Below are 15108 nucleotides of genomic sequence, written 5' to 3' on the forward strand. Positions count from 1 at the left end.
CTGCAAACTTAAATTGGAGAAATTTAGTGGTATATAGTTAGTATGGATAGCTAAACTTTTTAAATAGCATTATTTTGAAAAAAAAGCAATAAACACAATATGTATAATATAACCCACTGACTTTCTTGAAATATGATTCTATATTTAATAGGAAAAGGAAACAGCAGCCTATTAAAAATGTATCAGAACAATAACTTTTTATTAGTCCTACTAACATCTGAACTTTTATGTTCCTACCTACAAGTCCCCCATCATCATTTTTTTTGGTAAGATTCACATTTTCCCAGGAGGAAAATTTAGTCCCAGCACATCTTACAAATGAAGTTTCTTATTTTCACAACATTGAACCATTTATTGGCATATTCTAACACATTTAGTGTATATTCTTCCTAAACAATTCTGTGAAGAAACTAAATTACTCAGTAGCTTACCCCATTCCCCCTACACACGAGAAAAGAAACTACCCAAAACCAGTAATTCACAATAAGACCCAGCAGCTAATTGCGTGAACTTTTGAATATGTTTAACGTGTTGAATTAAAGTTCTTTGTGAGCATTAATTCATTAATTGGGCTCAAAATTCAAAATCACACCAAGTGTCGGTCACATAGGGAACTCTGGTCTCAGGGTTTGAATGACAGTGTTGTTGATTAGTTCAAGCTCTTGCCTTTCTCTAAACTTTCTTGTGTTCACTTTCAGGAATTCTATGAGCATGCCAAGGCTCTGTGGGAGGATGAAGGAGTGCGTGCCTGCTACGAACGCTCCAACGAGTACCAGCTGATTGACTGTGCCCAGTAGTAAGTAACCGCCACCCAACCCATCAGCACATAAAACAGACAAAAACAAGAAAACATGAAAACCTGTGATCCTGCTTTGAAAGTTACTTGTTGATGATTCCTTTCTTAGAAGCCAACCAGTTACCCCACTGGCAGAAAGTTCTAATCTGATTCAATTGTTTATTTATAAAGTCCTTAATTGCATTTTTTTTCTTTTAGTGCAGCGACATTATTTTACATAAACATTTAAAGCCTGTTAGAGCAAAATGATGATGAGTTTCATAGTATTCCTAATTAGTAGGAAGTAATTAATTGAATTGACCCTAAGCATTTAGGGAAATAGGGCTGTGCTCACATTTTGAATAATGTAAAAATACTATATTTTATTGCTGTAATTTTAAAACATAACAAAGAGGAATGGTGAAGACATAGCTACGCCTCCTCTCTCCTTGGTAGTTGTTGATTGATCTATTTCTGCTCTCAGGTAAGCGACTCTAGTAGCTGCCTAGTGTTACTAGATCCTAGTGACTCTAGGTAGAGTTTGTTTTTGTGTTGTCTTGACTTTTGAACTCTATTTCATATCCTTATTTATTCCTTCTCACCGGGTCTTGATTCAAGGATGGTAAGTGGTCAATGGATTTTAAATCCTAAACTGTACACCTAAGCAGTACAATACCGTGGTGGGGTTATTTTCAAATAAAACAAATTACTACCTGCGAGGAGGACAGGTTAAGGCCTGCAGTAGCAATGGGAAAAGCATCTTTCTCCAAAGTCACTCATAAAGGTGGGCTCACCTGGTTGGTGTGTTGGCAAATGAAGAAGGGGGAACTTAAAACACAGACTTTATTGCACAACTCTACCTGATGCCCAGGCTGCTTCCCTTGCTGCCTAACACCTGACTTACCATTGCCTCAGGGATCGCCCTCTGTCCCTGTCACCCACCATGGTCTCTCCCAGAGGACATCGTACCCGATAGCTAGAAAGTTGCCTTTGAAATAGTTTATGGCTTCCCTCATCTTGCACATGATATAGCAAGCATGTGGTGGTCAGGGTTATTTAAAAAATATGTAAACATTATTATTATTTTTTTGAAACGGAGTCTCACTCTGTCACCCAGGCTGGAGTGCAGTGGTGCGACCTTGGCTCACTGCAACCTCTGCCTCCTGGGTTCAAGTGATTCTCCTGCCTCAGCCTCCCGAGTAGCTGGGACTACAGGTGCCTGCCGCCACAACCAGCTAATTTTTGTATTTTTAGTAGAGATGGGGTTTCACCATATTGGCCAGGCTGGTCTCGAACTCCTGACCTTGTGATCCACCTGCCTCGGCCTCCCAAAGTGCTGGGATTACAGGCATGAGCCACCGTGCCCAGCCAAAAATGTAAAGATATCTTCTGTTTGTTGATGCTGCAGAAATGCACAAAGCAGTCTCAGTTAATGATATTCTGAAGTAGGAGTGTCCTGTGACTTGGGGCAGGGGAGTCTAGTAGAGGTTTGATGTTTTAGCCATCCTTATTACAAGTAGCTGAAACTCGGAACTGATTTTGCTATAGGAAGTATTAGCTAATCAGAACCAAGGTGCCAGGCTGACTCACCAAGGGCTAAGATTGCTTTACTTAGTAGCCTCAAGCCCAAGGAACTGATTGTGAAAACCACCTGAATAAACAGGAGGGAGGAAGAGGTAATACTGTTCATCTATAAATCATATAAGCCTCTGTTAGGGTCTGCGCAATCTATCAACCCCAGCCCTGCCTTCCCATAGGAAATTCCTTTATTTTCAATTGCCACATACATAGATATTCCACGGTTTAATATACAAGCAAATGTGTATATTTTTTCAAGGAACAGAAAAAAACAGTCCATCTTGGCTGGTCCCTATGGCCCCCAGCCCCCACTCCTTCTTCAACAAAGTCCCTGATTTTCTCAAAAGTTCGAACCAAAAGCTGGAAGCGCTAATTATAGTAACGCAAAACAAATGGAAATCCTGGAATTGTTTGCATTTTGTATTTTGGATCCAAGTCAGAAGTTAAGTACAGGTACAAGATTAAGAGAGTTTAACCACCCCAGTTTTGAATGCTGGGGGGGCAGGGAGACCCAGTTTCGTTAATTAACAGTAGCTTAGCCAGATTGTTGAATTTTGTCGGGTTTCGTTTTCTCTCTCAAATCATTTAGAAGTTTTTGGGGTTTTTTTAAGCAACACTTAATTACTCCTGAAACTTTGTCTGAAAACGCACCATTTGTATAGATCATGAAAAGTTTTAAGGAAACTCAGAGAAAAAGAGAACAACGCAGCTTAAAACTTTTAAAATGTCCTCCCTCACCCGTGGCTCAAACAGCCCTGCATCTGCCGTGGCCGGCACGTTTCTGGTTGAACTGCCTTTATGTTAAAGTTCAGATACTGGTAGTGTGCCCATTTCTTAAGCTGTCTATTTTTATTTGTTGAGCTGGGGTTTGGCTGGCTCCACTCCAGATGTCTCTCTCACAAGATTTGGTGCTGATGATCTATTTATAGAACTGTGGTTCTGTTGCCATGGTAACATGCTGGAGGCCAGGGCGGCTGGGGAGCTATTTCTGGACTGGTGCTGTAATGTAAGATTGATTGGGCAAGTTAGTATATCCTCTAAGCCAGACTAACTCTGAACTAGTAAAAAGGAAGAGGGGAACAGAAAACTTAGGCAGTTTCTTTAAATAAACTTTTCTCTCTTTATGATTTTCTTTTCTCGTTAGCCCGCTTTAAAACAATTCCAATCTCTACATGCCCCTCCCTCCAAAAAATAACTGGTTTTAACATTAATTTTCCATATTAATTACCCCAATCTTTCAAAAGTAAATTTTCCTGTGTGTCTAGTCAAGCAACACAAACAAGATGCTTTTTTTAATGAAAAGCGTAATATCTGGAGTGTTCTATTTCATGGACCAAACAGAACGGAAGAGAACTTTGTGTTTGTTTCCTGTTCAGGATGGCTAGGGCGAGAAGGGCCCCTTTGTGCCAACCTCTTTTGTTCTCTTTAATCAATGAGATTCTTAAAAAGTAAAAAGGAAGGGATACAGATTCTCAGTAACTAAAACAATCTCGTGTGCCCTTGAGGGGAAAGTCCTTGATGTTTTTAAGAATGTCACTTTATTGTTTTTTAACTGAATGATATAGAGGTATACAATTTTCAAACTGTTTGCCATTTTAATCAAGCAATTTGAAAATTAAAATGTTTTTGTCAGGCATTACCAAATGGCACAGAATGTGATAGGCCAGCCTGGTTTTGGGGTCCTTTCTCTACTGGTTGATATGCATAAAACCTTCTAAAAATCAAGAATATTGCCAGAGAGCAACAGGAATAAAGAAGCTAAGTAAAGAATAAAAAAGAAAAATAGAAAAAATAAAAATAAACACGAAGAACAAAGCCCCACCACCGTGCTGTGCTGTTTGTGTGGCCCCACTGCGTCGAGGCCACAGGCTAGCTGCTAGACGCATCTAGAGTTCCCTGATTCCTAAAATTATTTATCTTAAATCCTGTTTGCCCTAACCTTCTTAAGGCATCAGCTTTGAGTTACAAATGTAACCAACACACAAGCAAATGTGCCATTGACTTAGTGCTGCATAACTGTGGGACGGTCACTTCCGTTGAGCCTGACCTTGTAGAGAGACACAAATAGTTGGCAAATTGATGTGAGCGCTGTGAACACCCCACGTGTCTTTCTTTTTCTCCCAGCTTCCTGGACAAGATCGACGTGATCAAGCAGGCTGACTATGTGCCGAGCGATCAGGTGTGCAAAACCCCTCCCCACCAGAGGACTCTGAGCCCTCTTTCCAAACTACTCCAGACCTTTGCTTTAGATTGGCAATTATTACTGTTTCGGTTGGCTTTGGTGAGATCCATTGACCTCAATTTTGTTTCAGGACCTGCTTCGCTGCCGTGTCCTGACTTCTGGAATCTTTGAGACCAAGTTCCAGGTGGACAAAGTCAACTTCCAGTAAGCCAACTGTTACCTTTTTATATAACAGAGATCATGGTTTCTTGACATTCACCCCAGTCCCTCTGGAATAACCAGCTGTCCTCCTCCCCACCAGCATGTTTGACGTGGGTGGCCAGCGCGATGAACGCCGCAAGTGGATCCAGTGCTTCAACGGTAGGATGCTGTGGGCTTGGCTGTTCGTAAAGAACGCTTTGCTTCTGTGTTGTTAGGGATCAGGGTCGCTGCTCACGCTCTTGGCTTTGCTCTCTTTGGTTAAGATGTGACTGCCATCATCTTCGTGGTGGCCAGCAGCAGCTACAACATGGTCATCCGGGAGGACAACCAGACCAACCGCCTGCAGGAGGCTCTGAACCTCTTCAAGAGCATCTGGAACAACAGGTTTGTGGAGTGACCGCCCACCCCCTGCGCTTGCCCAGGAGGCCCTGGTCTGCACTGTTTATAGAGAAGAACCCCGTGCAAGCATTCCAGACCCCTGGCCGAAAGCGCGCTTCTCCCAAGCATTCACACGGCCTCCCTTCTTGTAGATGGCTGCGCACCATCTCTGTGATCCTGTTCCTCAACAAGCAAGATCTGCTCGCTGAGAAAGTCCTTGCTGGGAAATCGAAGATTGAGGACTACTTTCCAGAATTTGCTCGCTACACTACTCCTGAGGATGGTGTGTATGGCTTCCACTCTTGCTGGCTGTTCATTGCGGTGGTTCTTTTTCAAACGGTCAGGCTGAAAACCCCCATCCCCCTCCCACCACCAAACCATAAAGGATCTATAAGAGAAGCAAGAAAAACGCACTCCCACTAATTCTCATATGGAAAAATCAGGGTTTTGAAGACTTCAGGAGCTACAGAGATGCTAGCACCCCAGCTCTGCTTGAATTTTAAATTACATTAATATGTATTCCCTTTTTATATAGCTACTCCCGAGCCCGGAGAGGACCCACGCGTGACCCGGGCCAAGTACTTCATTCGAGATGAGTTTCTGGTGAGTCGAGCCTGTCTTTAGTTTCCTCTCTTGTTCCTCCTCTTTTTCTCATGGATGTAAATTTACTTAATTCCAAATTCAGGGGTTCAGCTACCCAGTTCCATGGTTTTAGTTCACGCACATCCAGTGTGGATTTGAGCTCTTTGCGCCCCTCTTTTTGCTTTTGTTTTCATATGACATCAGAGGCTGGCTGACAGCCGTCCCTGGTAGGTGTCCCCATCAGGGATAGGGTGGTTCCTGGCGAGGGTGTCACTGACAAGTCCCCTTGTTTGTGCCCGCAGAGGATCAGCACTGCCAGTGGAGATGGGCGTCACTACTGCTACCCTCATTTCACCTGCGCTGTGGACACTGAGAACATCCGCCGTGTGTTCAACGACTGCCGTGACATCATTCAGCGCATGCACCTTCGTCAGTACGAGCTGCTCTAAGAAGGGAACCCCCAAATTTAATTAAAGCCTTAAGCACAATTAATTAAAAGTGAAACGTAATTGTACAAGCAGTTAATCACCCACCATAGGGCATGATTAACAAAGCAACCTTTCCCTTCCCCCGAGTGATTTTGCGAAACCCCCTTTTCCCTTCAGCTTGCTTAGATGTTCCAAATTTAGAAAGCTTAAGGCGGCCTACAGAAAAAGGAAAAAAGGCCACAAAAGTTCCCTCTCACTTTCAGTAAAAATAAATAAAACAGCAGCAGCAAACAAATAAAATGAAATAAAAGAAACAAATGAAATAAATATTGTGTTGTGCAGCATTAAAAAAAATCAAAATAAAAATTAAATGTGAGCAAAGAATGATGGGACTCCCGTGAGTTATTTGTGGTTCTGAGCAAATTCCCGTCATTCATGGTTTTGACTTGGTCCTTAGGTCAAAAGTTGGGAGGCCCCAAGGTGAAGTGGGTATAAAATCTCACCACTGTATGTTTTCTGGTGACCCTAATCTGTAGGTGTCTTGAAACAATTTGCAGACAATAGGAAAAGTCCACTCCTGTTCCTCCTAAATTTCACCCCATAGTGAACCACTATGCCCCAGTCAGTCACCTCTGCATTTTGATCATTGCCATCCTATCCAAAGATTCTACCAACAACTCACACCGTTACGTCATCACACAGTTTGCCTGCTGACCCAGGCTTCCCAAGAAAAGTAGTGTATGTTTTGCTATAAGATAAGATAGGGACTAAATTATGTGGAGGAGAAATAGAGGAGCACAGTGTTTCCAATCAATGGGGTTATTCAAGAAATGGTGTAGCCATTTGGGGAAAATTGAGGCTGGATCCCTACCTCATTGCACACACCAAAATGAATTTGACATAAGTTGATCACATACATCTAAATAAAAGAGGTACTTTTTAAAGTGGCTATTTTATAATTAAAACCTTGGGTTTTTAAAGGGCCTCTCTGCAGCATAACCTAAGACCTAAAGGCCATAACGGGGTTGGGGATGACTATAAAAACGAAAATCACACGTAAAATTTGAATGGGGGAAGGGCCTGGGTCAGGTAGAAATTTAACAAAGGGTTTACTTCCCTAATAAGCAAAGAGTTCTTATGAATTAATAAGCAAAACCATCAGAAAAATGGGCACAGTATATAAGCATGCAACTTAAATACAAATAATAAGCCTCTGGGGATATGTGGGACATCACTCATAAATATTCACCATAATTGGGAGTGGGGATGGGGGTCCACACTCACGGGTTGAAGTGTGGCTTATTTCTGAGGTCCTGTGGGTTCCCTAGACTTTCACCCCTACGCTTATCCCCCAAGGTGTAGTCTCATATGTGGTCACTTCCTGGGTGGCTTCCAGGAAGGGTGGGAGGAAGTGATCAGCATCAACGATGGTGCCCTCTGAAGCTGGCCAAATGGGACTTCAAGTTCATTCTGTAATCCAGGTCCCAAATCCACTTCCTATTCTAGTTTCCAGATCAAATTACTCTCACCCAAATTAATCATATAGTGTAGCTCACCAGAGGTGAGCGATGAGCCCCACGGGGGTGCAGAAAAGTAGCAAATACCTGCATCTCCATCCAACTTTCACGTAACATTCAGTCCACATGTTCTTGCTATGCAATTTTTAGTACAAAGCCCTCAAAAGCCCCCCAAATATAAAATCCAAGTAAAAATCGGGGCTTGCTATGCAAATACAGCTGAAAGACTAGCCCACAAGTTCCCATAATCCTCCAAAGCACCCCAAATAAACACACATAAAACCTGGACAGTGGCTATCAAGTGCAACCACAAGACCAGCGTGCCACACAAACATTCATCCAGGTAAAGGCTGTGCTCAGTGAAAATCAAGGTTGAACTCCAGCCCCTAGCTCCTCTTCCAAGATGGCTCCCTGTATGTCCCTTTTACATAGAAATTCTGGAACCTTCTTAGCATAATCCACATGAGATTGTCACAGCTCTAGCCACATATCCATCAAAATTAGAAAACACAAAATTCCCAGGCCAGAGATGCCAAGGAAAATGATACCACAGAACCCCACCTTGTTGGTCATAACTGACAGAGACTTCATGGTATCTTCTAGAAGAAGGGTCACAAAAGTCACAGTTATCAGGTATCTACTAGTGCTAGCCATTACCCAATGGGATAGGTTCAGCTGCTATTTTGACAATGAGTAAAAGAGGCCCAGAGAGACCCCAAGAGACGTCTCCAGTGAGCAGGGAAGATGCGCTTCAAACTCAAGTAGCCAAAGGCCACTGCTTGGTCCCTACAAGATACTGTTGTCCTGGAAGATGCAGGAGAAAAGAGAAAAAGGTCTCCTGGTGTTCTTCCCATTATGTCAGTTATCAGGAGTCCATGACCTGTGACCCCCATCGAAAATCCTGCAGGTCACCATGGGATTCCACAGCCAGGTGGGTGAGTGGGGCCTCTTCCCACAGACCGTGGCACTGGCCATACTCCTGCCTCCCTACCAGGTCAGGGCTTTGTCCCCACCAGTCACCCCGTTGCGTTTGAGACTTGCTTCCCTATGTTAGGCTTCATTGCTGCTATTTAAAACATTTTTGTTTCCCTTTTCCCTCTGACCCTGGTGCCAAGCAAAACTTCTACAGAGCTATTTTCAAATCTAAATTTTAGGATATTCAAAAAACAAAAAATTATAAAGACTTTCATTTAAATCTTTGATTACAAGAAGCCATTTTAAAAAAAAAGATTTTTTTAATCTGAATGCCTGTAATCCCAGCACTTTGGGAGGCCGAGGTGGGCGGATCACGAGGTCAGGAGATGGAGACCATCCTGGCCAACAGGGTGAAACCCCCTCTCTACTAAAAATACAAAAAATTAGCCGGGTGTGGTGGCGGGCACCTGTAGTCCCAGCTACTCAGGAGGCTGAGGCAGGAGAATGGCGTGAACCCGGGAGGCAGAGTTTGCAGTGAGCTGAGATCGCGCCACTGCACTCCAGCCTGGGCAACAGAGCAAGAGTCCATCTCAAAAAAAAAAAAAAAAAATTTAATCTGACGTTTAAATCTCTATTAAAGTGCAAAGCAACCTATTTTTCTAAAGGTAGCGATTTGCACCACACTTTGTAGAGATGTGTAAACCAAATATTATAAATGACTATTCATTGACCTTTTGGATTGAACATGATAATAATAAACCATTAGGGCCCTTCACAGTATGAGAAGGGTCTAGAATTGGACAGAATTTTTATTTACCTCCACTTTTACTTAAATGTGCACAAAATTATGCCTCCCAAAATGGCCACATCTGCATAGCCCTTCTATGTAGACCATGGCATCCTCTTATTATAGTACTTTCTTGGATGGCTTTGGTCATCTTTTCACTCAATAAATACATAGAGACTATGGGATCCATGCCAGCCAGTGGGAATCCTGATCTCATGGGGTTCATGTTCTAGCGAGAGAGACACACACTTACTAAATAAATAATAAAAAGAATTACAGATGGTGACAAAATCTCTGAAGCAATAAGCAGGATGCAGGCAGTGGGGAATGGGAGATATTTGAGGAGGGATTTCACTTTAGATGGAACAGCTAGGGAGGGCCTCTCTGATGTAGTACATTTTCTTCTGAGAATGTGAAGGATGAGAAGCAGCCAGCCATCAAGTACTAATAGCTAACATCATTATTTAAAATTGTTATTAAAACATAATTAATGGCCAGGTGCGGTGGCTCACACCTGTAATCCCAGCACTTTGGGAGTCCGAGGCGGGCAGATCACCTGAGGTCAGGAGTTCGAGACCATCCTGGCCAACATGGTAAAACCCTGTCTTTACTAAAAATACAAAAAATTAGTCAGGCGTGGTGGCAGGTGCCTGTAGTCCCAGCTACTCAGGAGGCTGAGGCAAGGAGAATCGGGAGGCAAGGAGAATCTGCCTCTGGGAGGCAGAGGTTGCAGTGAGCTGAGATCGTGCCACTGCACTCCAGCCTGGTGACAGAGCGAGACTCTGTCTCAATAATAATAATAATAATAATAATAAACATTTTTGGAGGACTTTACTATGTGCCAGGTACTGTTCTACACTCTGTATATGGATGATCTCATTTAATCCTTTCAAAGCCCTATTAAAAACCATCCCATCATTTGTACAACAGGTCCTATCCCATTGTGCAGTAGTTAGCTCAAACATGAAAAAGGTAAATCATATCTAAAGCATTGTGAATAATTTAAGCAAATTATGCTTTTTAATAAAGGTTACACTAAAAAGGTCATTGCAATAAGCACTTAATTTAAGTAATTGTTACACAGGTTCCTATTTCAGAGCTGGAGGACTTTGCATCTCTAGGATAATTTTCCCACATTAAAAAATGCATGCATATGCTACGAACACCAAGTCTTCTCATTTTGCCTATTTTATTTACCGTATCAGTTAAGAATGCATTCAGCTGCAAGTAACAGAATCCTGACCCAGAGTGGCACGGACAAACAGAAGTTTATATCCACTTATCAAGAATTCTAGAGGTAGGTGGTTCCTGTTATTTCAGCAGCTCATCAATGGCAGGACTAATGTGTCCACAATTCTCTTGGCTTCTCTCTCATGGTTGCAAGACAGTATCACAGAACAGCTGAAGGCAGAAGAGGAAGGGAGAGACAACCCAAACTAATCTCTTTTGTCCTCTTTTTGTCAGTGTTTCATAGAGGCCTCTTCATTCATGCTTCACCATGTGAAATACACATAGATACCCAGCTATATATGCGTACTTCGAAAAGTAAAAGTAACAGATAGAAAAGTATCCCTCCCTCCTTCTCTCCTTCCTCCCCTCCCCTCCCTCCCTCCCTCCCTTCCTTTCCTTCCTTCCTTCTTCTGTCTTTTTAGACAGAGTCTCACTCTGTTGCCCAGGCTGAAGTGCAGTGGCGTGATCTTAGTATGCTGCAACCTCTACTTCCCAGGTTTAAGCAATTCTTCTGCCTCAGCCTCCAGAGTAGCTGGGACGACAGATGCCCACTGCCACGCGCAGCTAATTTTTTGTATTTTTAGTAGAGATGGGGTTTCACCACGTTGGCCAGGCTGGTCTCAAACTCCTGACCTCAAGTGATCCACCCACCTCAGCCTCCCAAAGGACTGCGATTACAGGCATGAGCCACTGAACCTGGCTGTATCTTTTCAATAACACTATTATGCATACACACATAGATAGGGATTTTATTTTTTATTTTTATTTTTATTTTTGAGATGGAGTTTCGCTCTTGTTGCCCAGGCTGGAGTGCAATGGCACAATCTTCAGTCACTGGAACCTCCGCCTCCTGGGTTCAAGCAATTCTTCTGCCTCAGCCTCCCAAGGAGCTGGAATTACAGGCATGCGCCACCACGCCCAGCTAATTTTGTATCTTTAGTAGAGTTGAGGTTTCACTATATTGGTCAGGCTGGTCTCAAACTCCTGACCCCAGGTGATCCACCCACCTCGGCCTCCCAAAGTGCTGGGATTCCAGGCGTGAGCCACTGCGCCCGGTTGAGAGGGATTTATAATTTCCTGTTGTATGCACCTTGACGGAACATCTGAAAAAAACATATCCAATGCCTGTAGTTTTAAGGCTTAGGGAAGATATTAGGGGGAATAAAACCCTTTCAAGTCATAAGAGAACAATTTGCATAATTCTACGTAAATAAGTTAGAAAGCCTAGATGAAATAGAAAATCATCCAAAAAAATACTTCTTACCAAAATTGACCCCAGCAGAGACATCATAAATCTAAGCTGACCAGTTACCATAGAAAAACACAAAGCACAGTGAGAGGCCTCCATGACAAAAAGGCTCCAGACTCTCGCTGGGATGGGAAGCTAATGACAAGAAGGAAACATGAGGGAAACTTCTGGGGTGCTAGCAAGTTTCTATTCTTGATCTAAATGCTGGTTAAACAAATATATCCCATTTGAGAAAATTCATTTGACTGTACACTTAGGATTTGGAACTTTTTAGTACATGTATTATATATATATATTTTTTTTTTTAATGAGGAAAAGGAAAAAGGCACCAGGCCCAGGTGGTTTCACAGGGGAATTATATTAAACCTTTAAAAGTCAAATAATCCCTGTGCTACTTATATTATTCCAGACCATAACATAATAAAAGGAAAACCTCAAAATTATTTTTATAAAGTATACCACTGATTCCAAAACATGCCAAAGATTGCACCCAAAAATAAAATTACAGATTAATTTCACTTATGAATATCAATATAAATATTTTAAAATATAAGCAAACATAATTCCATATTACATTAAAAATAATACATCATGCCTGGTAAGATTTATTCTAGGAATTCAAGGTTTGTTCAATATGAACAAATACAGTAATATATGCCAAAATTTAATACTGATTCATATTTTAGAAATCCAACAAAATAGTAATGAATGGATGCTTTTCTAATATAAAGACTCTCTCTATATATACCACATATCTATATATACTTAGTACAGTATATATCATGTATATAAATAAAATCTCCAAAAGTCAACATTTTAATTAATGAGGAGCTTCTAAAAGCTTTTCCACTAATGTCAGGAATAAGAAACAAGAAACACAAGGATGCCTCACATCATCACTCTCTTTATCATTGTATGAGATGAATAAGCCAATTCAATTAGGCAAAAGAAAGCAATGAGAGACCTAGAATTGGAAGGGGAGAAGCAAAACTATCTTTTTGACAGGTGCAGTGGCTCATACCTGTAATCCCAGCACTTTGGGAGGCCGAGGCGGGTGGATCACGAGGTCAGGAGATCAAGACCATCCTGGCTAACACAGTGAAACCCCGTCTCTACTAAAAACACAAAAAAATTAGCCGGGCGTGCTAGCGGGCGCCTGTAGTCCCGTGAACCCCGGAGGCGGAGCTTGCAGTGAGCTGAGATCGCGCCACTGCACTCCAGCCTAGGCGCCAAAGTGAGACTCCGTCCCAAAAAAAAAAAAAAAAAAAAAAATTAAAAAATTAGCCAGATGTGGTGGCACATGCCTGCAGTTCCAGCTACCTGGGAGGCTGAGGTGGCCAGACAACTTGAGCCCAGGAAGCCGAGGCTTCAGTGAGCCATGTTCATGCCACTGTACTCCAGCCTCAGTGACAGAGTGAGACCCTGTTGCAAAAAAAAATAAAAATAACAGGTGATTATTATTATAACTCTCCCCTCCAAAAATCCACGGAAAAATCATTACTAAAAAGTGAAAGGATTTAGTAAAGTACAAAGTACAGATTTATAAGATTAACATGTAAAAATCAATACCAGCCTAGGCACAGTGTGCATGCCTATAGTCCTAGCTACTTGGGAGGCTGAGGCAAGAGGATCATTTGAGCCTAGAAGTTCGAGGCTGCAGTGAGGTATGATTGTGCCACTGTACTCCAGCCTATGCAACAACAACGAGACCCCATCTCTAAAATAATAATAATATTTTAAAAAATCAATAGCAGGCTGGCCACAGGGGCTTATGACTGTAATCCCAGCACTTTGGGAGGCTAAGGTGGGAAGATTGCCTGAGCCAAGGAATTGGAGACCAGCCTGGGCAACATGGCAAGACCCCGTCTCTTAAAAAGAAAAAAATTTTTTTAATCAATAGCATGTGAAAGGTAAAACAAGAAAGCTTTAAGAAGAAAATACAGGCTGGGTGTGGTGGCTCACACCTGTAATCCCAGCACTTTGGGAGGCCGAGGCGGGCAGATCATGAGGTCAGGAATTCGAGACCAGCCTGACCACCATGGTAAAACCCTATCTCTACTAAAAATACAAAAATTAGCTGGATGTGGTGGCATGTGCCTGTAATCCCAGCTACTCAGGAGCCTGAGGTAGGAGAATCCCTTAAACCTGGGAGGCAGAGGTTGCAGTGAGCCAAGATAGTGCCACTGCACTCCATCCAGCCTGGGAGACAGAGCGAGACTCCATTTCAAAAAAAAAAAAAAAAGAAGAAGAAGAAGAAGAAAATACAAGAGACTACTGCTTGCGTACGGTCCCCATGTTACATTTGGCTGATTCATCTCCTAAATCCCGTGTCATCTGTGGGTTACCTCTTCTCTTTTTCTCGCCCCTTATACGATTCCAACTCAGAAACTGAGTTGTTTGTCCTCTAGAGTTTTCCATATTCCAGATTTTGCTGATTGCATCCCCATATTATAAACCTTCTGATTTGAACAAACCAACTATTTTTTAAAAAGTATGAAATCATCAGATAAATTTAAACAATGGCTGGATATTTGACAATACTAAGAAAACTAGTGTTAACGTTTTTGTGTGGATAGGAGCATCATGATTTTCATGAATTCTTATCTTTCAGATATACCTACTGAAACAAAATAATATGATGTTCCAAAATCATACAGTGGGGTGAAGGCAGGAGTTGGAGCCATGCTGGAAATTGTTTTGCTACAGGCTCTCCTGTGGTAAGTGGGTGACCGTGGGGAGCCTTGATGTTAGTGTTTGCCAATTCCCATGGTGTAAATCCCCCACTGTGATTGATTTCAAACTCCCAGCAGTATGCCATTGGATATGGAGTTGGGAAGAGATGGGCACAGTCAGCTCCAGCACACCACTGATAGGAGGGTGGAGGTGAAACAAGATTGGCCATGAGGTGATGCTTGTTAAAACAGGGTGATCAGTACATGGGGGTCCATTGCACTATTCTAATTTTCTATGTGTTGGCTATTTTAAGCAAAAGTTTACAAACAAGGGGCCAGGCGCAGTGGCTTATACCTGTAATCCCAGTAATTTAGAAGGCAAAGGTGGTAGGATCCCTTGAAGCCAGGAGTTTGAGGCTGCAGTGAGCTACTCCACTGTACTCCAGCCTGGGCAACAGAGCAAGACCCTGTCTCTAAAATAAAATAAAGTAAAACAAATTAAGAAAAAGAGAAAGAAAAATCTTACATTTCCAGATTAACGTTTTTAAAACTTCCAATGTTAATGATGACACTAGGACAGGCACAGTGGCTCATGCCTGTAATCCTAGCACTTT

General features: G+C 42.2%; 1 protein-coding gene across 33 annotated transcripts in view, besides 1 other annotated feature; it reads left to right on the forward strand.

Annotated features, from left to right (window-relative positions):
• The window catches only part of GNAS (GNAS complex locus), a 71445-nt gene extending 64937 nt beyond the window's left edge, over window positions 1–6508 (forward strand). For 29 of the 33 annotated variants that reach the window (NM_016592.5, XM_047440113.1, NM_001410912.1 and 26 more), the window contains 8 exons: window positions 699–796; window positions 4478–4532; window positions 4666–4739; window positions 4837–4895; window positions 5000–5120; window positions 5267–5397; window positions 5650–5717; window positions 5999–6508. Coding sequence is in view for 31 of the 33 variants with exons in the window: in XM_047440113.1 (XP_047296069.1) it covers window positions 699–796; window positions 4478–4532; window positions 4666–4739; window positions 4837–4895; window positions 5000–5120; window positions 5267–5397; window positions 5650–5717; window positions 5999–6145 (753 nt within the window). In the remaining 2 variants the exon portion in view is untranslated. The remainder of the gene's footprint in view (window positions 1–698; window positions 797–4477; window positions 4533–4665; window positions 4740–4836; window positions 4896–4999; window positions 5121–5266; window positions 5398–5649; window positions 5718–5998) is intronic. The other 4 variants (NM_001309861.2, NM_001309840.2, NM_080426.4 and 1 more) reach the window with 1 other exon arrangement.
• Window positions 2959–3438: an enhancer, noted in NCBI's record as "active region_18180". NCBI's record gives its function as "activates an Ori minimal core promoter by ATAC-STARR-seq in GM12878 lymphoblastoid cells {active_cell/tissue: GM12878}" and the evidence as "EXISTENCE:reporter gene assay evidence [ECO:0000049][PMID:35858748]".

This window comes from Homo sapiens, chromosome 20 (genome assembly GCF_000001405.40).
Source record: "Homo sapiens chromosome 20, GRCh38.p14 Primary Assembly".
NCBI lineage: Eukaryota > Metazoa > Chordata > Mammalia > Primates > Hominidae > Homo > Homo sapiens.